This window comes from Homo sapiens, chromosome 11 (genome assembly GCF_000001405.40).
Source record: "Homo sapiens chromosome 11, GRCh38.p14 Primary Assembly".
In the NCBI taxonomy this organism is placed as follows: domain Eukaryota; kingdom Metazoa; phylum Chordata; class Mammalia; order Primates; family Hominidae; genus Homo; species Homo sapiens.
Genome location: NC_000011.10, coordinates 46,120,537 through 46,147,865, shown reverse-complemented (window position 1 = coordinate 46,147,865; position 27,329 = coordinate 46,120,537). Strand labels below are relative to the sequence as shown.

Below are 27,329 nucleotides of genomic sequence, written 5' to 3'. Positions count from 1 at the left end.
AAAAGAGTATACATAGTTTACGTTTTGATAGATGCTGCCAAGACCACCCCCAAAGCTGGTACCATTACATTTCTACCAACAGGATCTAAGAGTACCTCTTCCCCCATCTTTGCCCACACTGGATATTATTCATCTTGAAAATCTTTACTATTGAATAGGTGAACACTGATATCTTATTGTTTTAATTTGCATGTCACTGATTATTAGTGAGATGGAACAATAGGCATTGTTTAAGTTTCTCATCTCTCTTAACCTCTCAGCAATTCTACTGACACCCTCCCTAAAATGCCCACCTTTTCTTGGCTTTTGTGAGCCCCACACCACTCTTGGCTTTGTTTCTATCTATACCTCTGGCCTCTCTCAAGCAGTCTCCAGTCTTGACTCCTCCTTTCCTGGCTTTAAATATTGATGCTGCTCAGGGCTTGGTCTTAGCTACTTCCTCCCTCTCCACAAAACACCCAGGTCTCTCCATCTACATTCTCTCCTCTGACAACCTCATTCAGACCCATTGAGACTTTTATTTATTTTTTATTTTTGAGACGGAGTTTTGCTCTTGTTGCCCAAGCTGGAGTGCAATGGCAAGATCTCAGCTCACTGCAACCTCTGCCTCCCGGGTTCAAGCGATTCTCCTGGCTCAGTCTCCAGAGTAGCTGGGATTACAGGCATGCGCCCAGCTAATTTTATATTTTTAGTAGAGATGGGGTTTCTCCATGTTGGTCAGGCTGGTCTCGAACTTCCAACCTCAGGTGATCCTTCCACCTCGGCCTCCCAAAGTGCTGGGATTACAGGCGTGAGCCACCTTGCCTGGACCATTGAGGCTTTAAATATTGTCTGTACACCAATGACTCCCAAATTTTATCTCTATCCTTGTCTCTCCTCTTGCTGTACACCTGGCTATTCCACATCTCTACTTGGATATCTCAAGAGCATTCCAAAACTGAACTCAGGAGTTTATTCCCCCAAACTACTCCTTTTTTAGGGTTCTCAATTCAGTGATTGTCTTGCCAACCTCTGGTTGCTCAATGAGAATCTTGGGAGTCATCCTGGACTCCCTCCCCATGACTCCAGTATCCAATCCATTCCAAGTCCTATGGACTCTATGTCCTAAGTGTCTCAGGAGAGTATCCCTTTCTTTCCATCTCCACTGATCCCATCTCCCCAGAACTTCTGCAAGGGCATCCTAACTGGTTTCCCTGAATCCATGCTTGCCCTTAGCCAGCATGTTCTCTACAATATAGCCAAAATGATTTTCAGAAAGCAAATCTGATTATGTCACTCCCCTGTACGAAGATACAGCCACAAACTTGTTAAACACAAAATTATTTACCAAAAGAAAGAAAGGATGAAAAAACTTAAATATTCACAAATATCAGATTGGGCCAGGTGTGGTGGCTCATGCCTATAATCTCAGCACTTTGGGAGGCCAAGGTGGGAGGATCACTTGAATCCAGGAGGTCAAGGCGGCAGTGAGCTAGGACCATGCCACTGTGTTCCAGCCTGGGCAACAGAGTGAGATTCAGTCTCAAAAAAAAAAAAAATTAAGTAAGTAAAAAATACAGATCAGTCAGACACACTTAGTATATCCATTTGATGAGACAGTATGCAGTTATAAAAAACAAGTGTAGTTCCAGCAAATGTTAAGAATCAGATAAATGCTATTATTTAAAAATCTAGAGCAGTGGTGTCCAACGGAAATATAACATAAGCCTCATATATAATTTAAAATCCTTTAGTAGTCATGTTTTAAAAAGTAAAAAAAATTAAATTAATTTTCATAATGTATTTTATTTAATCCAATATTTCAAAAATTTAACATTTCAACATGTAATCAATATAAAAATTCTTATTGGGGTGTTTTATATTCTTCTTTCACACTAAGTCTTCAAACTTGAGTATTTTTTTTGTGGGGGGGCAGGGTTTGGTGTTTTTTTTTGTTTGTTTGAGATGGCGTTTCACTCTTGTTGCCCAGGCTGGAGAGCAATGGTGCAATCTCAGCTCACTGCAACCTCCGCTTCCCGGGTTTAAGAGATTAAACTCTCCTCAGCCTCCCGAGTAGCTGGGATTACAGGTGCCCACCACTATGCCCAGCTAATTTTAGTAGAGACAGGGTTTCACTATGTTGGCCAGGCTGGTCTCAGACTCCTGACCTCAGGTGATCTGCCCCCCTCAGCCTCCCAGAGTGCTTGGATTACAGGCGTGAGCCACAGCGCCTGGCTTGTACATATATATATGTGTGTGTGTGTGTGTGTGTGTGTGTGTGTGTGTGTGTGTGTGTATTTAAACAGTTATGCATTTATTTTCATGTGTAAGAAGACAACCATAACTGCCACGTGAACATGACTGTGTGGATACACAGTTCAGCACAAGGCTAAAGTCAGAAGTGAGTGAAAACAAAATAGCACGTTGATTTAAGTGAAATAACAGAACAGGAGGCCTTTGGTTATGATAAAAATTGTGGAGGTGGTCTGTGAATGCAGAAGTTCAGGGCTCACTTCTCCAGGCTTAGGGTGAGATGCTGTGCTCTGGACTGAAGCCCCTGGAGTTCTACAGAGAAGCTTGCCCAGTGCACGGCCCCTGTGACGTTCTCCCAGGAGCCTGTGGTACAGCAAGACCCCAGGGAGGAAAGCACATTCTGTTTAACTTGTCCATGCTCTGCAAAATGTCTTAGAAGTGATGAAGCAATGATGATGATTCTCTTTCAAAGGGAAGAAGAATCTTCTAGATGTGGCATTGAGGAGGCAGCGGTTACAAGACGGGCTGGGCTACAGGGCCCGAGTGGGTCTTGGGGTCATAACTAGGGGACTGAAGGGACATCTGTCCTGGAACCGTCCTGGAGAAGTGCTTGTGTGTGTTTGGGGGTGGGGTGGTGCATGGCCCCTGTCAAGGCTGCAGGAGGCACACTCGGCCCTGTGCCCAGCATGCAACAGGCTCTCACCCCATGCCTGCTGACTCACTACAGCACCCGGGAGGAGGTGCCAGAAGGCAGATTGGGGGCTGCTAACATCCCGGGGTATCTGTGGACCACCCTCTCCTCCTAGGCCTGGGCCCCAGCCCCACTTTAGCACCACACATTCCAGAGTGAGGAAGTCCAGGGCTGTGCCCCCAATGGGTCCCATTCTTGTACGTGTGCAAACCAAGGGGAGGTGTTTGCTATTACACTGCCTCCCCTAAATCCAAAGAATGTTGATTCCCATCATTTCAACCTTAACATTTTCTTTTCTTTTTCTTTTTCTTTTTTTTTTTTTTAATTTTGAGATGGAGTTTCACTCTTATTGCCCAAGCTGGAGTGCAGTGGCACGATCTTGGCTCACTGCAACCTCTGCTTCCTGGGTTCAAGCCATTCTCCTGCCTCAGCCTCCCTAGTAGCTGGGATTACAGGCAGCTGCCACCATGACTGGCTAATTTTTTGTATTTTTAGTAGAGACAGAGTTTCACCATGTTGGCCAGGCTGGTCTCGAACTCCTGACCTCAGGTGATCCACCCGCCTCGGCCTCCCAAAGTGCTGGGATTATAGGCATTAGCCACCGCGCCCAGCCAACTTCAACATTTTCAAAAGCACTTTTTTTTAATTTTTGAGATGGAGTCTCACTCTGTCGCCCAGGCTGGAATGCAGTTGTGCAAGCTCAGCTCACTGCAACCTTTGCCTCCCACATTCAAGCAATTCTCCTGCCTCAGCCTCCCAAGTAGCTGGGACTACAAGCATGTGCCACCACGTCTGACTAATTTTTGTATTTTTAGTAGAAACGGGGTTTCACCGTGTTGGCCAGGCTGGTCTTAAACTCCTGACCTCAAGTGATCCACCCACCTCGGCCTCCCAAAGTGCTGGGATTACAGGCTTGAGCCACTGTGTTCAGCCTAAAAAGCACTTTTTAAGGGACTTTGGAGTTTTTCCTCAAACAGCTCAACCGTGCAAAGCCATGCTGGTCTCAGCACCCCGACCAGACAGCTACAGTCAGCACTAGGGGTCCAATTGTCCCCGGCAGACTCCCCCCAGCTTTCCCCTGGAAGTGGGGTGGGGCCAGCAAGGAATTCTGGGGGCGACGCTCATGGTCCAGGAACCTTCTGGTGCCCAGAGGGTAAAGGAGGAGTGGAAGTTCTGACGGCGCTCAGCCCCACTGTGTCCTGGAAAGGCTGGGCCGACTTGCAGGCTGGTCCCCATGGAGGCTCAGAAGGAAAGTGTGCAAGAGCAGGTCAGGAAGGGAAACCAAGTCAGGAAAGGGCCCCAGCCGGGACTAGTAGTCCGCTCACTGCCTGACACCCGGCGGGCACTCTCAGCAGCACCCCGCAGCACTCTGCTTCAGGTGGCACGCCTTGCAGAAGAGATGGTTGTTGAGCGGGTAGCAGCCTTGGTCCGTGGGCTCAATAGACAGGAGGATCCTGCAGTCCTCATACCTGTAGCAATTTTCATGGAAGTTTCTTCCAGTGCACTCGATTTTGAAGGCATCTTTCCCATCCCGAGGAATGATGGGATTCTCACAGATGCTGCAGACGGGGGCAAATTTCCTGTAGAAGTCGTCCAGGCAGTACACCTCCTTCTGGCTGCCCGGGGCAAAGCTCTCATCCCCGCTGCACCGGGCGCAGGTCACACACGTGAAGCAGGCGGGGTGGAAGGCCTGGCCCGGGGCCCTGATGATGTGGTCCCGGACCACCTCGCCACACTTGCTGCACTTCTGCAGCGTGTCCTGGCAGCAGGGTTCGCAGAGGGGTCGCATATCCTTCTGATAGAAGCTCTGCCCAGCCAGCTGGCGGCGGCAGGTACGGCACGTGAAGAACTGGACATGGTACTGCCTCTTCATGGCCTCCACAGCCAGCTCCTGGGGGGACACAGTCTTATGGCAGAAGGCACGGATGTCTGTGGACGCCTCTCTCTCAACAGGCTCTGCTGGGGGAGGCGGCAGCTCTTTTTCCACGGGCCAGAGGGGATCCGGCCCAGGCTGGACTGAAGGTCTCTCCGCAGGGGCCTGTGGTGGGGGTGGGGACGGGGGCAGGTGCAGCTGCTCTAAGTCCGCAATAAGTGAGGCCCCCATTGGAGCAGGAGCCTCGTCTTCACAAGGCAGGAGCACCGGCGGGGGCGGTGAAGCGGGTGGGAGGAGGTCCAGGTGGGGAAGCACGTCCTAACCATCCAGGACAGGAGGAGGGGGTGGACACCCCGGGCTGCCCGCGCCCCGGCGGCTCCGACCCCTGTGTATTTTATACTTACAGCATATCTCAATTCAGACACTAAATTTTCATCAGAAATACTTATCTCTGAAGACTTAGGTTTTATAAAGTAAATTTACAGTTGAAAAGCAGATTCACATACCTACATTGTTCCAAAATACTTAAACGTTTTCCAGTAACTAAGTCAAACATCAGTTTTTAAGTTTAAATGTTAAAGATAAATAACATCGTCCAGGGAGAGTGGCTCATGCCTGTAATCTTAGCACTTTGAGAGGCCAAGGTGGGAGGATCACTTGAGGCCAGGAGTTCAAGACCAGCCTGAGCAACACAGCAAGACTCCATCCCTACAAAAAGAAAAAAGAAAAATTAGCCAGGCATGGTCGTGTGTGCTTTGTAATCCCAGCAACTTGGGAGGCTGAGGCGGGAGGATCACTCAAGCCCAGGAGATGGAGGCTTCAGTGAGCAATGAATGCACCACTGCACTCCAGCCTGGGCAACAGAGTGAGACCCTGTCTCAAAATAATAATAAAAATAAATTTAGTTCTTCACTGGCAGTAGCCACATTCCTCCTTCTCCTTCTTCTTCTTTTTTATACAGGGTCTCACTCCGTCGCCCAGGTTGGAGTGCAGTGGCGTAATCACAGCTCACTGTGGCCTGGATCTTCTAGGCTCAGGTGATTCTGGCACCTCAGCCTCACGGGTAGCTGTGACTAGAGGCACGCATCACCATGCTCAGCTAATTTTTTGTACTTTTAGTAGAGACTGGTTTCGCCATGTTGCCCAGGCTGGTTTCAAACTCCCAGACTCAAGGGATCCACTCGCCTCAGCCTCCCAAAGTGCTAGGATTACAGGAGTGGGCCACTGTAGCCACATTTCAAGTGCTCATTTGCCACACATGGCTGGTGGCTACTGTATTTGTTGAATGATACATTTCTAGAGTAATATTAAGACTGAAAGTTCCCTGATTCATTTATAAACTTTGCAAACATTATTATAAAAGTCCTTCAAAGGATAAAAATATTTCATCCTTACCTTTCTTGGAAATAAATGACAAATAAATATGAGCAAATTAAATCAAGGAATATTTTCAAATAATTGTAGCCAAATATAATATATGTATACTATTTTATTTTATTTATTTATTTATTTATTTTTTTGAGATAGAGTCTTGCTCTGTCACCCAGGCTAGAGCACAGTGGCATGATCTTGGCTCACTGCTTCCTGGGTTCAAGCGATTCTCATGCCTTAGCCTCCCAAGTAGCTGGGATTATAGGTGTCTGCCACCACGCCTGGCTAATTTTTGTATTTTTAGTAGAGACCCGGTTTTGCCATGTTGGCCAGGCTGGTTTCGAACTCCTGACCTCAGGTGATCCTCCCGCCCCTGCCTCCCAAAGTGCTGGGATTACAGGCATCAGCCACCTCGCCCAGCCAAATAGAATATATTTAAGAAATGAACAAATGATCCTTCTTGAGTTTTCCTATTGGTATAAGATATCCCATTTACAATCAGCATAAAAAATAAAATACAAATAAATAAGCTTAACAAAAATGTGCAAGATACTTATGAAGAAATGATAAAACTTTGCTAAAGGGCATAAAAGAAGATGAAAAGTGGAGAGGCACAGTCCAAGATCCTGCTAGGAAAGACTAAATATTGTTAAAGATGTGAAGCCTTCTAAAGTTAATCTATAAGTTTAAAGTAAGTCAAATCAAAATGCTAAAGAAAACATTCGTTGGTGGGTGGGTGGGACTAGTTAAACTAATCCGAATGTTTATCTAGAAGAATAAACAAATAAAGAACAGCCAAGAAAATAACGAAGAAAGAATAACTTGTGCTACCTGATATGAAACTGTAGTGATGAAAAACATTGTGGTACTGGAGCAAGAAAAGACAGATCCATGGAGGTAGACCCATGAATTTAGGAGAATTTGGTAAATAATGAAGATGATATTTCAACTTGATGGGGAAAATATTGATTATTTAATAAAAGTTATCCATACATCGGATATCCTTTTAGAAAAAAAAGTAAAGTTGTCTCCTACTATACTCCTAAATAAATTCCAGATAGTTTAAGGATTTGGAAATAAAACAAAGAAACAAAAACTCAAAAGTCCTAGGAGATAGTAGTGGATTACATTTTAAAAGAATTTGGGGGCCAGGCGCAGTGACTGATGCCTGTAATCCCAGCACTTTGGGAGGCCAAGGCAGGTGGATCACGAGGTTAAGAGATAGAGACCATCCTGGCCAACAAGGTGAAACCTCATCTCTACTAAAAATACAAAAACTAGCTGGGCGTGGTGGCACGCGCCTATAGTCCCACCTACTCAGGAGAATCGCTTGAACCCAGGAGGCGGAGGTTGCAGTGAGCCGAGATTGCGCCACTGCACTCCAGCCTGGTGACACAGTGAGACTTGGTCTCAAAAAAAAAAAAAAAAAAAAAAAAGAAAAAAGAATTTGGGGATAGGGAGGTCTTTTGGTAATGTGGTGTTAAGCCACAAGTCATAGAGGAAGTGATTGGCAGGTTTGATTATTTCAGCACACACTACCGGTTACCAGTGAGATGTAAGTAAAAATCTACTGGGACCTTCTGGGAAAGAATTTCCTCCCTGATGAAAATAGTAGATCTGGGGGATGGCAAAAAAAATTCTTTGTCCTTATTCTCTCTTTTTTTTTGTCCTCATCCTTCCTAATCAGAGTATGAGGATATCATATTCAAAGGTGTGGCAGGCATTTTGTCTCACTGAGGGGAGGCACTGTCAACGCACACTAAACGGCAAATCTGAAGGACATACAGAGACTGATGACATCTCTGAACCACCAGACCAATCCTGTGACCTCCTACTTCTGAATTTCAGGTTAACTAAACAGCTAATATTGTATGGTTTAAGGCCGTCACTTGGCTTTTTGTTTGCTCAGGCTGGTACAAATACATAAAAATACACTTTGGGAGGCTGAGGTGGGTGGATCACTTGAAGTCAGGAGTTTGAGACCAGCCTGGCCAACATGAGGGAACCCTGTCTCTACTAAAAATACAAAAATTAGCTGGGCTTGGTGGCACACACCTGTAGTCCCAACTACTCGGGAGGCTGAGGCAGGAGAATAGCTTGAACCCAGGAGCCAGAGGTTCCAGTGAGCTGAGATCGTGCCACTGCACTCCAGCCTGGGTGACAGAATGAGACCCCATCTCAAAAGAAAACCCACCAAATATATAAAAATAAGAACTTTCTATGGCAAAAGATACAATGAACTAAGTGAGAAAAAACAATTTCAACATAGACGTCAAGGTTAATAGCCTTGATATATAAAGGACTTTTACCAATCAATAAGGAAAGAAGAATGCTTTTATAAAATAAAATAGGCAAAACACATGAATAGGTAATTCATAAACTAAATTGGACAAATAAAGATATAAAAGCATGCTTCAACCTCACTGATAATCAAAGTCTTACAGATTGAAACCAAAATGAAATCTCATTTTCAGCCTGGCAAAGATAAAAAAGAGTGATAATGGCCAATGTTGGAGATGGTGTGGAAAATCAGTTTATCTCATACATATTGGTGAAATGTAAATTGGTGCAATATTCTAGAGGACTATTTATTGATATGATCAAATTTTAAAAGATGTATCCTTTTTTTCTCAGCAATCTTCCTTCTAGGAATTTATTTCTAAAGGAGTAATCAGATACATGACCAAGAAGCATACACGATGATGCTTAGTACAGTACTCCTCATAATAGTGAAAAATTGAAAAAATAATAATTCCTTATAATAGTGAAAAATTGAAAAATTAGAATATGTTTCCAACAAGAGGTGATTGGTTAAAGAAATTATGGTCCATTTATTCAATGTAATAGAATTCAATGTAGCCATCAAGAAGGATGATGCATTCTTTTCGGCTCACTGCAGCCTCTGCCTCCTGGGTTCCAGTGATTCTCCTGCCTCGCCCTCCTGGGTAGCTACGATTACAGGTGCATGCCACCATGCCCAGCTAATTTTTGTATTTTTAGTAGAGACAGGGTTTCACCATGTTGGCCAGGTTGGTCTCAAACTCCTGACCTCAGGTGATCCGCCCACCTCGGCCTCTCAAAGTGCTGGGATTACAGGCATGAGCCACCGCGCCCGGCCCGATGATGCATTCTATGTATTGATGTGGGAAGATACTCATGATCTAGTGTTAAGAAGGAAAAAGCAGTTTACCAAACACTATCCAACAATGTGTTAGGAGTCTGTCTATAGAAATGCATGTTTACACATACATAAAAACTTGAAGGATTTTAAAAATTAATAGTGACTATTTTTAGGAAGTGGGATTATGAGGGACTCTTTATTTCTCTGTATTGGTTAAATATTTTATATATCAGAAAAACAAATTTGATTCCGGTTTAGAAAATAAAATGTTTCCAGAAGAAAATGCAATGATGTGCAAAGAAACATAACGTACTGCCAAGTTAAAAAATAGGATATAAGTTAGTGATACAGTTATTTTCACTGTGAGGCTAATTTTCTTGAAAATTATCTAGAAAGTTGTAGACCAAAATATTAATAGTAATTACCTCTTAGGGGGGATGTGGTGGGAATTTGAATCGTTTTTATTTTATTGGTCATACTTCAGTGTTTAAAAAAGGTTTTTAAAGATATTTGTATTGCTTCCACAAAAAAAGTTACTCATAGAAAACAAAAAAAAGGAAGCAAAGAGAAATCGAGGGAGGGGAGGAGGGAAGAAAGGAGGGAGGGAGGGAGGGAAAGAGGGAGAGAAGAAGGAAGGGAGGGAGGGAAGGAGGAAGGACAAATTAAGTCTAACTTGGACCAAGCCCTTTTGGAGGTTGGCTAGGCTCCTGAGACGCCTACAACATGTGTGTTGATTTGATGACATTAAGTACAAACCCGATATTTATTCAACTTTTCGGTCTTTTGTCCTGCCACAAAGGACTTGAGGGAACGCAAAACATATGATAAAACAGAACATTACAAATAAAAAAATTTCAGGATCAAGAGAAAACAGCGATGTACTAGAGAGACAAGAATTGGGAGGAAGCAGGGTCGTACACACTTAGGAAAGTTTAGCTGCAAGGTGAGCTCCCCTGAGATTCCATAGTCCTGGGAGTCCTCTGCTCAGCTTGTTGGAGACCTGTGTATTTGAGATTCTGTACAGGGTGAGTCCAGAAAGAGGATAATCTTGTAGACACATTGTGGGTGTCTGCCGAGCTCATAATGACTCCTTTTCCCTTGCGTGGAAAAGGGAGCTTGCGGTCTAACAGTTAGCTGTGCTGGGTGAACCTCCTCCTAAGCTGAGCAAGTCAGAGTGTCACTCCTAGACATTCCAACCCGGGTCTGAAAGCTGGCCGCAGTCTGGCTGGCCACTTGGGGTGGCTACACAAAGCCAAGCGCACCTCTTAGTTGGGGCCTTAGAGCCCACTTTCCATGAAGAAATAAAGAAACAAGGTTACAAAAACGACGGTATAGTTTTAATGTTTATATTGAATAAATTAATGCTTTTAACACCGAAAAACACAGTGCCACAAAAATGTTCTGTTCACAAGATAATTACAGGATTTATTAAAAATATTAATTCATGGTGCACTACAGGCAGTGTGCTGCAGAGCCAAGGGGCTGTGCCAACCTCCTCCCCTCCCACCACAGGCCCCCGAGGCTGGGGCGAGCAGGCTGAGGAAACTTAAGTGCAGCTGACAGCAGCCAAACGTGGGGTGTTGCTGCTTCTGAGGATTCCTGGGGAGTCCATCTTCCAGGGTTTGGTACCCGGTCCTTCTGAGCCAACTGCCCCTGCCCTGCAACGTACCTGATATACTTCCAACGAGGTCCCTCCTTCACTAATTCCACTTGACGTGGATTTCTACCATGGCAAGCAAAAGAACTTTGCCTGAAAGAACCTGCAGTCATCCCAGATTCTTTTTTTATGGAGACGAAGTCTTGTTCTGTTGCCCAGGCTGGAATGCAGTGGTGCGATTTCGGCTCACTGAAACCTCTGCCTCCTGAGTTCAAGCGATTCTCCTGCCTCAGCCTCCTGAGTAGCTGGGATTACAGGCATGTGCCACCATGCCTGGCTAAGTTTGTATTTTTAGTAGAGATGGGGTTTCACCATGTTGGCTAAGCTAGTCCTGAACTCCTGACCTCAGGTGATCCGCCCGCCTCGGCCTCCCAAAGTGCTGGGATTACAGGTGTGAGCCACCGCGCCTGGCCCCAGATTCTTATTTTTCAGGGGAGGTCGGTTTTTCCCTTTGTGACCAATTCCCCTCCCAGGGAGAAAGACAATTTTCAGCTTCCGTGGTCCCAGACTGCAGTGAGTTCATGCATATTCTCCCAAGGTGGAGGAAGATTGTTTAAAAGATGCTGAGTGGCAGGGAGAAGAATGTCACCTAAACATCCCTCTGCCACAGAAGGAGAGGTTTGGCTGAGCCTCAAGGACATAGGTTCAGACAAGGGCAGTCCCGGCTGCCTTACCGCGAGATGGAGTCATCTTCCTGGAGCTGGAGGATGTCACGGAGCTTTGGGATCCTCCTTCATCCTTCAAAGTGTCTCCTAGGGTGCGTTTGTCTTAAAACTAGCTTCAGAGGTGAGGGAAAGAAGGTGAGATGAGGAATTTGTCCCCAAGTGGTTTCTTGGCTGACTCTGCTCCCTGGTAAACTGGAACAGTAGTAGCTGGTTATGCTTATGATCTCATTTCTCTGTGGTTCCCAAGGTGCCTAGAGTGAGCCTTAAATAAAGTAGAATGCTGGCCGGGAGCAGTGGCTCACTCCTGTAATCCCAGCACTTTGGGAGGCCGAGGTGGTCGGATCACGAGGTGGGGAGATTGAGACCAGCCTGGCCAACGTGGTGAAACCCCGTCTCTACTAAAAGTACAAAAATTAGCTGGGCGTGGTGGTGCGTGCTTGTAATCTCAGCTACTAAGGAGGCTGAGGCAGGAGAATCGCTTGAAACCAGGAGGTGGAGGTTGCAGTGAGCCGAAATCACGCCACTGCACTCCAGCCTGGAGACAGAGCAAGACTCCATCTCAAAAAATAAAAATAAAATAAATAAAGTAGATGCCCATTAAACCTTTTGTGGTCCCCCTTGCTGCCAGCAAGACAAGGCCTTTGCCTCTTTGCTCAGGCAGCTCCAGAGGATTGCTCTGGGGCCCTCTTATCCTCCCATTCCTGAATTCATTCATTTAGTCAACAAATACTTCCTGAGCACCTGTTCTGTGCTAGGCTCAGTGTAGGTGCTGGGACTACAGGGGTGATAAATAAGATGGACATGACCCTTTCTTTCTTGGAACTTAGATCTTTCTGTCCACTTTTCACCCCTTCCCCCAAATATATATCAAATAAAAACACAGAAACTTAAGAGAGAATTTCTCCTGCCACATGACAGAATACCAAGCACATCGTTTCAGAGAGAGAGAAAGAGAGAAAAGGAGAAACTAGAAAGAAAACTCCCAGCTGTATGGGAGTCTCCCAGAACAAGGGTCCCATTTTTGTTACTCCTTGTTCAAAAATCTCATGTCCCCCACTCAGTACACACACACACATACGTATAATACATATGTTACTTGCACCGTTTACATTCATAACATGTACAGCTGGAGAGCAGCGAAGTCTGCCTCCCACATTTTACAGAACGGATTGGCAGCTGGGACTGAAGGCGATAGAAATAAGCTATTGATCAAGGGTTAAGAAAGTACTGCCACTGGGATCCTGTGATGCTTGCAAGCTGAGGGCAGCAGTAAAGTGCTACACAAATGCAATAACATTTATAACCCGAGGGCAAGTGCTTTGTACATGAAAATAAAAAGCTGATCCTCTGTCTAATTCTTTCCCCCTCCTTGGGCTGGGCTGGCCTTTGACAAGTGCATGAACAGGAGCCTAAGCGGGGTCACCTGGATGGGCTGATTTCTGACTCTCTGGGCCAGTGACTGGATCTGTTTTTCCCATGTTGGTGCCTTCTGGTGGTCTGGGAAGTTACCTACACATTTAAAGCTTCTCTGGGAGAAGCAGGGAAGCAGCCACATTCCACCACCCTGAGAAACCACTTAATGCCTTGGCCCCATGGGTCTTGCTTGGTTTGCTTTGCGGACGTTGTCTGCTCCTCTTGGGAGCTGAACTTTTCACTTGTATGGATGCTGGAAATCACTCTTTAGAGCTTCCTTCTGTGACATTTGTAAAGAGGAGAAATCCTATTTTTGGGAGAAATAGATAGAAAAGAGAGACAATTCTGGAGGTACTACAAAACAGTAAATGGACCATGATGACTGGACCCGAATAAGCCAGCTTTTTCCTCCAAAAGTCACCAGATCAGTGCTTCCTGACACGTGCCCCCAGAAACGCCAGTCCTGTAAGAGACACCATTAAAATGGGTCAAAATAAATTGAGACTCAAAATAAATTGAGAAAAAGCTTCCTCTTGGAGATTCCTATTGCATCTTTGCAATTTAAAGGCTCTGAGAAGCCCTGCAGTAAAGGAGTTTAACTTTGCTTAGCAGTATCTCCCAGATTTACTTGACTGCCAAACTATCCCCGCCCTTAAAACTTCTTTCATCCTTTCTCTTTTTATTACCTAATGCCTATTAACAACATACTTTAGGAAAGCACTTACAGAAGGATTTGATATTTTGCCTGCCATGTACTGTATGCCTTCATGTGCCTTCAAGACACTTTGCACGAATTATTTCTACCCACCAAAATAGCTCTGCCAATATTATTATCCTATTCTCATTTCACATCCTATCCCATCCTATTTCCTAGATAAGACATATGAGGCTAAGAGTGGATAAGTCACCTGTCCAAGGCCCCTCAACTAAGTAGTAACTTAGTGAAGATTCTTTTTTTTTATTTTTATTTTTTGAGATGGAGTCTCGCTCTGTTGCCCAGGCTGGAGTGCACTGGCATGATCTTGGCTCACTGCAACCTCCACCTCCCATGTTCAAGCAATTCTCCCGCCTCAGCCTCCCAAGTAGCTGGGATTACAGGCATCCACGACCATGCCCAGCTACTTTTTTTGTATTTTTAGTAGAGTGGGGTTTCACCATGTTGGCCAGGCTGGTCTCAAACTCCTGACCTTAAGTGATCTGCCCGCCTCGGCCTCCCAAAGTGCTGGGATTATAGACATGAGCCACCGAGCCTGATCAAACTTAGTGAAGATTCTAACCCAGGCCTTTCCAACTCCAAAACTCACATTTTCCATCATACCACACATCTTGTTATATAGGATGAAGACTGACTTCTTTTTTTGCCAAAGAGAAAATGAGTTGCTCTTCTTTGGAGACCTTTGTCTCAGGATCCATCCATTCTCCTCAAGGCCTTGCCTGGTTCATCTCAACGTAGTGCTACCCCACACTTCCTTCCTTGTGGCTCATGGGAATTCCCATTAGAAAGCAGAAGCTGAATCTAAGTAGCTGTGGGCAGGCATCCCAGTTTTGCCATGTACTATTTATGTGACCTTAGGCAATTTACTTAACCCCTCGGTGCCTCAGTTTTCTTATCTATAAAATTTTAAATATGTACAAAACATCTGGCCCAGAATGCTTAGTAAATGGCAGTTGTTATTTTTACCATTAATAATTAACAATAAGCCGTCATGAGAAAAAAAATACTTATTAGGAAAATGTTAGGGATTCCTACTTCAAATCAACTATCCTGGTGTGATAAGATACAGATATTTTAAGATGAAAAAACGGAAGCCTGTTAAGTCAGTGACTTTTTCAAGTGCACAAGTAGCTAATAGCAGAACTGGGACCTGGATTCCCGGAGCACAGAAATTTAAGACACCCTGATGTGTCAAAAAGCTAAATGCACCTGAGAAAACAGAGAAACTTAAATTTATAGCTTTGGGAGCTATTTCCATGAAATCCAATCAGCAATGAAGATCCAATTTCCCTGAAATTATACGTTTGGTAAAATAAAAAATAAAAACTTTAATGGAAAATATTAGATCTGAACACACCTTCATTTGTTTTCTTTCTTTTTTTTTTTTTTTGAGACAGAGTTTCGCTCTTATTGCCCAGGCTGGAGTGCAATGGCACAATCTCGGCTCACCGCAACCTCTGCCTCCCAGGTTCAAGCGATTCTCCTGCCTCAGCTTCCCGAGTAGCTGGGACTACAGGCATGCGCCACTACGCCTGGCTAATTTTGTATTTTTTAGTAGAGACGGGGTTTCTCATGTTGGTCAGGCTGGTCTCGAACTCCCGATTGCAGGTGATCCACCCGCCTCGGCCTCCCAAAGTGCTGGGATTACAGGCATGAGCCACCATGTCCAGCCCACCTTCATTTCAAGAGTTCATTTTTAAAAACTGGAAACAGGGCCCACTTGTATTGGCTACTGTCATATTTTATTTGTTTGATTTTTCTGGTTATTCATAATTACTCAGGACAAAACACGTTTCTTTAAAACAACATTTTTGTAAATTGAATTAGGTTCCAATAACATGTGAACATAAAATTTCTGTGTTAATGTTGTCATACTCTCCGTTGGTTTTGCTCTGTGATCTTTTTGGTTTTGCCTAAGCTGCTGAGGCAAGGACACTCCAGTATGAAATGAGCTGTCTTTAGGCACAGTTAGTCACAAAACTTAGGTCTGAGCGTTTCCACTTGAAATGAATCCGTTCCCATCAACCCACTGACGTTTATCAAAGGAAATATAATATTCACCCAGATTGGAATTGGAATGAGTTTTTCTTTTCTATTAGATGAACAGTGACAACTCAATGTACTTGGAAAAATAATGTTTATACTTATGCTAATTGAGGAACTAGTATTAAAATAAAGTGTTTGTGGCTCTGAAACTCATAATACCTGTACCTTCAGGGAGTCAAAACTCCCCAAGTGGCTATTGGAATATGCTTCTTGTTTTTAAATTCTGACTCTCACTAGGTTAGAACATAATGTTTCAGGTCCCTTCTTCTCTGTGTCATCTCCATATCCACCAATGCAATTCTTAGACCCAAGCCCCCAACCTACTATTACCTCTAGTTTTGTCCACCAACCCAGATGCTGAGATGGCTGAAGTAGTGTCATTTTAAATTTAATCCATTCCTCTTTCTTTCACTCACAGCACCCATTTTCAGTAAACTTGGTCATCTGCAACTTCTATCTCATCAGTTCTCTGTAAGCAAGGAGAGGGAAATGAATGGTATGGCATGTCCATTTTACAGGCTGGAACAATGTGGACTGTACCCCTCCCATCTCATCAACATTATAGTGCTGAAGAAATGTGGGGTTTTTTTTGCATAATGAAGTGTAAAACACAAATTATCAACCTCTGTTTAGCGCTAGGATAATAAGGCTTTCATCAAAGAAGGATACAGCTACAGAAATGATGCTTTTTGTCTTAAGGTTTTGAATTCTGAGAACCTGGAAGACATTAAAAATTTTTTTTTATTTTTTTATTTTTTTGAGACAGAGTCGCTCTCTGCCGCCCAGGCTGGAGTACAGTGGTGCAATCTCAGCTCACTGCAATGTCCGACTCCTGGGTTCAAGTGATTCTCCTGCCTCAGCCTCCCGTGTAGCTGGGATTACAGGCACATGCCACCATGCCCAGCTAATATTTTGTATTTTTAGTAGAGATGGGGTTTCGCCATGTTGGCCAGGTTGGTCTCGAACTCCTAGTCTCAATTGATCTGCCCACCTCGGCCTTTCAAAGTGTTGGGATTACAGGCATGACCCACCGCGCCCGGCCCATTTGTTATTTAAATTGTTCTCCTAACATTGCCGCTTACGAGGAAATAAAATCCTATTTTAGAGAGAAAGAAAATGGGGCTAAAAAGAAAGTAATTGGCTGGACTTAAAATGAGAGAATAAAATCTAAGCCCTCTGCTTCTCCATTCCCACTGCTTTGGGGTGCGGTTCTCCATGTGTTCTAGCTTGAATGCTCACAGCTGGTTGGCTTAACACAAATGGGTGTCAGGTTCATTCAAAGAGCACGACCTCAGTATGTAAATTATTCAGCAGTGAGGTTGATGTGACTATTTATAGGTCATAAATCAGTTATAAACTCAGAAATATGAGAACAGTTCCCTAAATAGGCAATTGTTACCTATCCAGGGCTTAATTTAAATATGCAGGGCTGAAGCTGGGCATAATTTCCTGTCTGACACCCTTTACATTGGGCTTGGGAGAAGTGGATAGGAAAGGTGCATTAATTATAGCAAGACATCAGGGCTGAGTCCAGGTATGCCAAAATAGATTTGTATCTTGGGCAAGCTCCAAACAGTTGCTAATGACTGCCTGATGCACTGTGTTGAGAAGGATTCTGAGGTCAAGTTTAGGCCCTGGGAAACCCACAGATTAGCCATCCCCGGTTTGCTTAGTTCCTATCCTTTACCCATCAGCAAGAGAAGTTTCATGAAAGTAAGAACACTGGGTCACATTTTTTCACCATAATTGTCCTCCTGGATTGTGTATGCTGATAGATCTCCTGCAACCAATCAAGGAATGAGAAACTAAATCGCCTCCTTTCAAAGATGAGAAGCCATTTACAGGATTGAGACAGTCAAAAAGAAATGAGAGACCCAAAGGTCCAGCTGTAACAAATCAGGTTACTGGCTGGATTTGGGGGAACTCCCTGTTGCCATCATCCAAAGGGGGAGACTCCTCTGTCAGGTCTCGGTTCCGAGACCCAGTCTGCCCCATTCTTTTCCCCTTCGGTACTGTAGTATCTCTTTCTCTCATTCAGTATTCAGGTTGACTCAAATGCGCACTTACATCTTATCGCAGTGTGAGGGAATGCCGGGCCTAAAGATACACATTTGAGGTCATTCATAAGCTATAAGGTGCTCCAGTCACTTGGCCTTGGATAAAGCCCTAAACGAGTCCTCCTCCTTTAGTGCACAGGCCTTTCAAGACTCTGGCCTCTGGGATTATGATTCCTGTGGCTGCAGTTTCTCTCGTTCCTCTCTATAGACCCACATCAAACAAGCAATCACTCTTAGACCTTACTCTGGTCTCTAAAAAAAAAAATCAGGTCATGTCCTGTTTGGATGCTAGGCATACTCCTGTGGCTTTCTGTTCAGAACCGAGCTATCTTCACAGCTTTTTGGTTCATCACCCTGCCTGCTGCCCCCAGATACCCTGCTTTCTCTCATTCTGTAGGCTTTCCCACAGACATACCCTCCTTGCTGGTGTGAGTCCTGGGGCTCTGTGGCAGCATCCCTTAGCTATTCTGATGCAGCTCCCTTGCTGTGCAAAATTTCCTTTTTTTTTTTCCCCTAAAATAATTCTTGAGATGTCCATAACTTCTTTTCTCTCATCCCTTGGGGCATCATACTATATGGAAAATGATTTACTTCTATTGAGAGCTTACGTGCCAGACTCACCCAAACCTTTACACATGTTATTTTGCTTAATCCAAACAACAGTCCTATTATTCTCCCCATTTAACAAATGAGAAGACTGAGGCACTTGAAGTAAATTGTCCAAGATCATACATCAAGTGGCAAATGGTGATATAACTTTTGCATTGGCAATCTGATTCCAATTTATCATTTTGCAATATCTCCATTTGATAATTCAAAATCACATTTGCATATCAAAGGCAATTACTATCTTGTCTGGGAAATCTCCACTGTGTTCTTTCAGATTCGTGATGCCCCTTTCTATCCCCGCGCCCCAATGATAAAACACGTTTATTACAGAATTCTCTAACCTTCGAGAACACCTCTGTATAGGTGTGTTAACTTTGTGAAAATTTACGAAAATGTACTTGTGATTTGTTCACTTCTCTTTATGAATGTTATACTTCAATTAAAGAGTTTATGTAAAAGATACTGTCAGATCCCTGAGTATCTCACCACCTGCACTCAGTTTTAGGACTGCAATGCAATTTGCCAGTGCTTTGCGGAAAGGTGAATTTTGGGATAACACCTAGTCATATTTAAATGTTTATGACTGGACAAACTGCTAGCTGGGCATGCTACGTCTGACCCCATGTGCTTTATGTAATACAGAGGTTGTAAAAAACTTATTAGAACATTATTTCAATGAGGGGAGAACCTTATGTTATTGTAAGAAACGTGTGCCCTAACTGATTTCACTTGGAAGACAGAAGGTTTTATATACTACAGTTTAAAGCTGCTTTCACTTGGTTGGAATTTGGGATGTAATATATTTCAAACAGGGTTTCACTCATATGGGTATACTAATTAGTTTTTCAGGTTTCCAGGTTTCAATGCTCACAGAAAAGAAACAATAAAAATAAAATACGTAATTGTGCAATGTGATACAAATTACCAAGGAACCAAAGTAATATTTATCAAGCACGTATGACACACATTATCTCATTTAACCTCCATAACAACTCTATAAAGTAATATGATTATTTCTGCATTTTGCACATAAGGAAACTGCCGCTTACAATAGCGCATCATTTGTCCAAGGTCAACCCGGGACTGTTTGATTCCAGTTTTACTAATTCCTCAAGAATAAGCCCTGCTAACTTCCCGTTAACTGCTTGGACCCTCCAAACAATCCAGTGAGGCCGAGTGCAGTGGCTCACACCTGTAATCCCAGCACTTTGGGAGGCCGAGGTGGGCGGATCACCTAAGGTCAGGAGTTCCAGACCAGCCTGGCCAACATGGTGAAACCCTGTCTCTACTAAAAACACAAAAAATTAGCCAGGCATGGTGGCGGGCGGCTGTAATCTCAGCTACTAGGGAGTCTGAGGCAGGAGAATCGCTTGAGCCTGGGTGGAAGAGGTTGCAGTGAGCCGAGATTGCGCCATTGTACTCCAACCTGGGCAACAAGAGCGAAACTCCGTGTCAAAAAAACAAAAACAAAACAATCCAGTCGATTAAGTATTATTATTTTCCCCATTTTGGGGGAGGAAATAGGTCCAGAAAGATAAAGTGTTTAGTTGGATATTTGCAGAACCCAGACTCACTCGCAGTTTCTCAGCCTCCAAATCTGGTAACACCTTACACTAGATAACACCATTGCTCAGGCCCACAGTGTAATTTATTTATGTTGATAATAGATATCAAAGACTAGACATTGAAGGTGGAAATAACAAGATGATAAAATTCTTTCAAATCCCTGGTCTTGGAAGAATATCCCTGTGATACATTTAGCAGTTCAGCAGCTTTAAGGCAGACATTTCTATAGCTCTAATTGCAGCCATTTTAGTTCCTAACAAACAGGTCCAGCCCAGGCCCCCAATCTGCATCAGTTACTTCTGGAAAAGGAGTCAGGATCTGCTTCTTGGAGGGTAGAGTCACACACATACAAATGCACACGTGAATCTCTCCATGGCGTTTAGTCTAGTTCTGTGGTTCTCAACCATCCCCTCCCAACGAACCCAACCCCAGTGCAGTTTTACACTCCTCCCACTGGACTCCACCCTCACCCTGTACACACCGGATATTTGGCAATGCCTGGAGATACTTTTGGTTGTCACAACTGTTGGGGAGCTGCTACTGGCCTCTAGAGGCCAAGGATGCTGCTAAAAGTCCTACAATGCCCCCTACAACAAAAAAATTACGTGGCCCAAAATGTCAATAGTGCTGAGGTTGAGGAGCCTTGGTCTAGTGAATGCTGTTAAACACACACACAACTGAAATTACTTAGGATTGAATTGACCTTGGAGATTATGGCAAAGTAATGAAATTGAAGGTATTCTCTAGAGTGGACTGTTTATCTACCAATATACATTTACAAGTTATATCTGACCCATTTCCAATTATGATTTTGGCTTACCACAAATGCACACACAAGACAGTTACAGTGAAGATTTTTCAAAAAGATCAGAAACCATCGAGACAGTGGGGAGAAAGAAAGTACATTCAACTTCTGCTAGTCACTGGGGATTTTCTGTCATAATTCTTTAAAAATCACATTGATATGTCTTCTCTACTTACTTAAGCACTTTGTTGGTACAAGCCAGGTTTTCATTTATTCCAGCCCAATAAGAATTAGAAAAAGAAGACTTGATGAATTCTAATATTTACCTTCCTGCCTCAGTGAAGAAATAGAACTCCCAGGTTTTCAGACAGAGTTCAAATCTTCTTTGGGCTGACCTTTTAAGAGATAATGAGGTTACTTTTCAGCCTGGAGCAGAAAACAGGACAGTGGTTGAGTGAAGTGGGAAGGGTGGCCGGGTTGGATGAGAAAGCCATCAATCAGTCCTTTCCAGGGGGGGTTTCATTGCTTTATTTGAAATACTGTCAAGTTCCAGAACATCAGAGAAAATCATATACATGTACAAAAATACCTTAATATCCATGGGTGTGGTTATGTGCTGTGCTAGTATAAAACTGTAAAATAAGAAAAATTCATTCTCTATTATAGTATATAAGGACTCTATAATAATATAATATGTAATGCCTATTACCTTTTTTCTATATTTACAGTGTATCTGCATTAGACTAATAGTGCAAATAGGAAGGAAGCTATTTTACTATTTTGAGTGGCATTTTACATTGTCCCATAGAACCCCAATATTAATATTAATTAAATCCTTTTTTTTTTTTTTTTTGGAGATGGAGTCTCGCTCTGTTGCCCAGGCTGTAGTGCAGTGGCGCAATCTCAGCTCACTGCAACTTCTGCCTCCTGGGTTCCAGCGATTTTCTTGCCTCAGCCTCCCGAGTAGTTGGGACCACAGGTGCCTGCTGCTACACCCGACTAATTTTTTGTATTTTAGTAGAGATGGGGTTTCACCATGTTGCCCAGGCTGGTCTTGAACTCCCAAGCTCAGGCAATTTGCCCGCCTCAGCCTCCAAGTGCTAGGATTACAGGCGTGAGCCACCGCGCCCGGCCTAATTAAATACTTTTTATTGAACAAAAGTTATTTAGATTCCTACCTCATATCTCGCACCAAAAAAAATTTTAAAGATAAATGTAGCAAAGTAAATGGAAAAAATAGAAACCATAAAAATACAAGAAGAAAATTGTAAGTAGTTTTCTAATCTTGGAGTTTGGATAACTTCTTGAAGCATAGAACAGGAGGCAGGAATATGTAAGAAAATACTAATTTGAGTACTTTTACAAAAATTTAAAACTGCACATTTGATATTTAATAACATTCAAGATTTGGGTTTTAACCTTTGTTCAGCAGTTTTTGTTTTTTCGTTTTGAGGCAGGGTCTCGTTCTGTTGTCCAGGCTGGAGTGCAGTGGTCCAATTGTGGCTCACTGCAGTAGCCTTTAACACTTTGGTTCAAGTGATCCTCCCACCTCAGCTCCCCACTAGTAGCTTGGATGGGGTCTTGCTATGTTGCCCAGACTGGTGTTGAATTCCTGACCTCAGGTGATCTTCCTGCCTCTGTCTCCCAAAGTACTAGGATTATAGGCCTGAGCCACTGCGCCTGGACTGTTCAACAGGGTTTTGATGGCAATTAAATGGGTTGGAAGGGTAACTAGGTGGCAGGAGAGCAAATTTTAAGTTATTGTGCACCTGCTATGATTATGTCATTCATGTCTAAAAGTTGAATGTCTCAAAGCAGCTTTTGACAGTAAACTTTCAATTTCTAGCTTATTTCTGGAATTTCTGCTAACATACTAATTGTTATCTTTTTTCCTTTAACACTTAAGCCATTTAGCCCTTACAACAATCTCACAAGGTATTATCTTTATGTTTAAGGAACACCAGGGTTCAGAAAGCCTAGGTATTTTGTATAAGGCCACAGAGCTAGTGTGTGCCCACAGAGTGCCTGTGTCAAGCACACAGAGATGCTGAGAGCTTGAGAAAGACCCACCAAAGCTTATAATGCCAACCTCACAATCTTCAATCAACACGAGAGTCCCTGAATCCCACATGCACATCTGCACCATCAAAATACTGGGATGCCACCTGTTCACCTTCTTGAGTTATGTTAACTAAGAAAATGAATTTAAGGGCACAGTGAAAATGCATTATACAGTTCTATGTGCCAGGACTGTGCTAAGCACGTTACATGAATTATTTTATTCAGTCTTCTCGAGAGCCCTACTTAGTAGGGTTTTTGTTGTTGTTTTTGAGACAGGGCCTCACTCTGTCACCCAGCTGGAGTGCAGTGGAGCAATCTCAGCTTACTGCAGCCTCAACCCCTTGGGCTCAAGTGATCCTCCCACATCAGTCTCCAGAGTAGCAGGGACTACAGGTGCGTGGCACCATGCCCAGCTAATTTTTGCACATTTTGTAGAGATAGGGTTTCACCATGTTGACCAGGCTGGTCTTGAACACCTGAGCTCAAGGGATCCGCCAGCCTCGGTCTCCCGAAGTGCTGGGATTACAGGCATGCAACACCTTGCCCGGGGCTGGAAGTAGGTATTCTAAGCTGCAATTTACAAGATAGGAAAACTGAGGCTGTTAACAGAGATTAAGCAGCCTGCCCCAAAGTGCCTTAGTTGAAGGAGCAATACTTCCAGAGTATTTTTTTTCCATTAAGTTTGGTAGTTACAGGAGTGTTAGACACTCTTATATTCAGCTAAAAATATTTTAATTAAATATCTAGACAATGACTTTGCATAACATTGATTTTTGGTTGCTACCACACATCTTAATAACCAAGCACCCTTTGGTACAAGTTCAGTGGTTAGTCCACCTTAAGTCTTTTTTTATAGCAAGGATTGGTAAATGACAGCCCGTGGGCCCCATCCAGCTCACTGCCTGGTTTTGTGAAGTCCCCAAACTGGGAATGTGGTGCTTTTTAAAAAATTTTTCTTAATGACTGAAAAAAATCAAAAGAATATTTCAAGACATGTGAAAAGTACATTAAATCCAAATGTCAAGGCCTATAAATACAAATTGTATTAGAACATAGCCAGATTCATTCATTTACATGTTGTCGTATAGATGCTTTTGGGTTATAACAGCATAGAGTGGAGAAGTTGTGACAGGGACTGTATGGGATGCAAAATCTACGATATTTACTATCTGGGCTTTTACAGAAAAAGTTTGCTAACCCCAGTTCTATAGCATGATACAATTAGAGGTTCTGGATTTTTTTCTATGAAATTCCAAAAAAAATTTTACCTTCTTTTTCCAGAAAGAACACCAAAGCAGTCTTCCTATGAAAAAAGGTTGATAGCCTGGGATGATTTGAAATCACACCATTAGGTTATAGTTCCAGTGACTGGCCAGTGGGTCCAGCTTGAAAGACCCCCTCCCTCATTTTAAATACATTACAGTTAGCTCTAGATGGTAAAGCTGGGTCTTACTACCCAACCTGTCCTCCCGTTATTCATCTTGACTGCGTTATGGGTTTAGTTTCACAACATTATGAGTTCATCTAGGCTTCTTGAATCATTTATAGGAATTTTCATTTTCACTCTCAAACTCTTACACTTTCGCTGCTGTGAATTTTTTTTAACATAAAGCTCAGACTACTAAATGGCCTACACATGTACCATAAAGTCCATATTTTATTTTTTAAGAAATCAGAATTTTTAAAAATTGCTTTTTCTTGAGAAACTAAACTTAATTTTGCAGGTCACGAAAGTAAAAAAATACCTTCATATCCAATGATCTCAAAGCACCTCTTGTGAAAATACATAACAAGGTAATAGAAATATTATTTAATGGAAAAGATGTGACTAGTAAAGTCCAAGGCTATTTCTGGTTCTGCGAATGACTCACTTTGACTTTGGGCAAATCATCTCACCACTGTTGCTCTTTATCTGCAAAAACTGGATTTCATGCCTATGGGAGTTGCATGGCTAATCAATGCCTGGAAAATGCGTAGTGGCAGTTGCTACAAAAGTGCTGAGCTTTAAAAACAAAACCCCCCACCCCCCCATTTGTATTCAGTTGAGGTTGGGGTTTATTGTTATTTAACATTCGAAGGCCAACACTATGTTAAGTCCAGAGTGCTGCACAGATCAGATAATATCACTGTCCAGTAGGGGTTTTTTTTAATCTAAGATTTTTTACTTTTAAAAAATTTATTGTGGTTGGGGGTTTAGAATCCGGTAATACATCCATACAAAAACGTTAAGCTTCAAGTTGAAAACTATCGATTCGAAAATCTAAATAAACCCCCTCCAAAAAAAAAAAAAAAGGCCCTCCCCCGCCCCGCCAAGAAATCTCTCAAAACAAGAATTCTTCTGATGTTTTTCTCCTCCCTGCAATTCTCCATGTTACAGTCCTTGGAGGTAGAATAGGCATAAAATACTTTCACTAATAAAATATGACAAACCGCCGGATTATACGTGGCCGATTCCCAGTGATTGCCCTGCTACACAAAGCAGAAAAGTAAATGCCATCATCCCCCTTAGAACAAAAGAACTTAGGAATAAAAAACATGGAGAGGGGGGAGAAAGCAGCAATAAATAAAGGTGAGCGAAGGCCCCCGTCCCCCGCCCCTCCCGGGAGCGAGTGCTGGACTAAGTACTGCTAATAAAGTGGTTCAAGGGTAGTTATTTGGAAAGGGGGCGGGGTGGCGAGGGGAGGGAGCGGGCGAGCGGCGGCCGGGGATTGCATGTTGCATTCGACTTGAGGTTGCATCTTTCTCCTGTTGCCTGGACCACGCTCCCCCATTGCAGTGCTTCCCCATCACTTCTCCTCGCTCCTGCCCCTCACGGCTTTCCCCCCCCCCCTTCAAACTGCTGTTGCACTGGAGGGAGTTGGGGCCGCTCTGGAGCCCCTTTGCAGCTCCCGCCGGCGGGAGGGGGGAGTTGGGCTCGGGCCGCGGAGTTGGGGGGGCCGCCGCGGGCTCCGGCCTCGCCTCGGCTGCGGCTGCACGGGAGCCGAGCTGCGGCGCTGCACGGGCCCCGGAGTTTGGCTGCCTTCGCCGCCGCTCGGTGCTCGGCCCCATCACCGCCGCCGCCGCCGCCGCTGCACTGGAGTTTGGCTGCCGCTGCCCTACTTCACTCTAGTTTAGTTTCACTCACTTTACATCCGGGTTTTTTCCCTAGGCAATGGGTGCCGCAGCACACCCCGTTCCTTAGGCAAAGTGAAATAAATTCGCCGCACCGACACGTCAAGTAGTCCGCCCGCCCGAGCGCCGCCGCGGGCCCCCGTCGCCCCCCCCGCCGACGCCCCACCGCCCCCGGTGGGGGGACCCGAGCGTCCCGGGAGCCGCGGGCCGAGGCGCGGGGGCCCGGGCCGGCCGCCGTACCACTCCGCCCGGCGGCCCCCTCCCTCCCCGCCGCGGCCCGCTCTCCCCCGGCGCCTCCTCTCCCCTCGCCCTCGTCCCCGCTTTCCCAGCCCCAGTCCCTCTCGCCCGGCTCTCGGGAGCGGCGGGGGCGCGCACGGCGGCGGCGGCGGCGGGCCGGCGGGGCCGCGCGGCGGGCTCCCGCGCGGGCGAGTGTGTCTGGGCCTGGGCGGAGGGATCCCCGGGCTGAGGCGGCGGAGGTGCTGCGGCCCGGGGCCGGGTGGTGAATGGGCTGGTGGTGCTCGCTGCTGCTGCTGAGAGGAGGAGGAGGATGAAGAGTTGGGCTTGTTTGTCTCCTACAGTTTCTCTCCTGCTGCTCTGATTCCCCCCTCCCGATTCCGGCCCGGGGCCTGTGTGTGTCCCTCCTGGAGGAGGAGGAGGATCCAGTTCCTCCCCCCAACCCCCTCCTCCCCACCCCCCCTTGCCTGGGGAAGAGGAGGAAAGAAACAGCCCAGAGAGAGAGAGAGAGAGAGAGTGAGTGAGAGAGAGAGGAGAGGAGAGGAGGAGGAGGAGGAGGGAGAAGGGAACAACCTACCATCTTAACACACTAATATCTAAAAAGTGCGAGAGGCCCAGAGCAGCAGCAGAAGCAGCAGCAGCAGCTCCAGCTTCTTCCCTCCCTCCCCATGAAGAAGAGTTCCCTCCTCCTCCTCCTCCTGCTTCTCCTGCTCAGAGTTCCTGCCTCCAGCTGCCAGGGGGGACAGCCAGCCAGCAGCAGGAGGGTGCAGTATCCCAGCTTTTCCATTCTCTCTTCTTCTCACTCTCCTCTCTCTCTTTTTTTCTGGAGTAGCTCTATTTCCCCTCCCTCCCCCTTCCCCCTCTGCCTCTCTCCTCTCTCCCTCTGTCTTGTCGCTGGTGTTTGTCTCTGGGAGGATCAGGGGCTGCCTGCTTGGAGTTTGTTGTGGGGGGAGGTAGGGGGAGGGGAGGGGTGTGTGGGAGGGAGGAGGGAAAGGGGGGTGTTCTCGTCAGGACCCCTCAGTCAACTTGAGATTTGAGCAATAACTTCCCCTTCGGGGCGCCCCCCTGCGTGCCCTTCCCATACCTCCCCCCCGAAAAAAAAGACAATGGGAAAACCTTGGCTCCCCCCCCTCCCCTCTGCCCTCCACCCCTCCCCAGGATA

The 27,329-nt window shown here is 44.8% G+C and overlaps 1 protein-coding gene, 1 long non-coding RNA gene and 1 pseudogene across 34 annotated transcripts in view, besides 3 other annotated features; 1 reads left to right on the top strand and 2 right to left on the bottom strand.

The window, feature by feature from the left end:
• Window positions 3,999-4,658: an enhancer, noted in NCBI's record as "H3K4me1 hESC enhancer chr11:46164759-46165418 (GRCh37/hg19 assembly coordinates)". NCBI's record gives its function as "activates a minimal SCP1, AML or CMV promoter by ChIP-STARR-seq in naive and primed H9 embryonic stem cells {active_cell/tissue: H9 hESC(naive and primed)}" and the evidence as "EXISTENCE:reporter gene assay evidence [ECO:0000049][PMID:30033119]".
• FBLIM1P2 (FBLIM1 pseudogene 2) lies at window positions 4,503-5,150 on the bottom strand (annotated as a pseudogene).
• Window positions 10,688-25,721, bottom strand: LOC105376661 (uncharacterized). The gene is made up of 3 exons (XR_931252.4): window positions 21,088-25,721; window positions 16,115-16,253; window positions 10,688-13,486 (listed from the first exon to the last, which is right to left on the bottom strand). It is a non-coding gene; the product is annotated as an uncharacterized LOC105376661 (long non-coding RNA).
• Window positions 25,580-25,889: a silencer, noted in NCBI's record as "silent region_3296". NCBI's record gives its function as "represses an Ori minimal core promoter by ATAC-STARR-seq in GM12878 lymphoblastoid cells {active_cell/tissue: GM12878}" and the evidence as "EXISTENCE:reporter gene assay evidence [ECO:0000049][PMID:35858748]".
• Window positions 26,330-26,389: a silencer, noted in NCBI's record as "silent region_3295". NCBI's record gives its function as "represses an Ori minimal core promoter by ATAC-STARR-seq in GM12878 lymphoblastoid cells {active_cell/tissue: GM12878}" and the evidence as "EXISTENCE:reporter gene assay evidence [ECO:0000049][PMID:35858748]".
• PHF21A (PHD finger protein 21A) overlaps window positions 26,412-27,329 on the top strand; it is a 192,136-nt gene continuing 191,218 nt past the window's right edge. For 31 of the 33 annotated variants that reach the window (NR_147890.3, NR_165446.1, XM_047427091.1 and 28 more), the window contains exon 1: window positions 26,412-26,931. The gene's annotated coding sequence lies outside the window, so the exon portion shown is untranslated. Of the gene's footprint in view, window positions 26,932-27,046; window positions 27,121-27,329 lie in introns of those variants that run through there. The other 2 variants (NM_001352028.1, NM_001352029.1) reach the window with 1 other exon arrangement.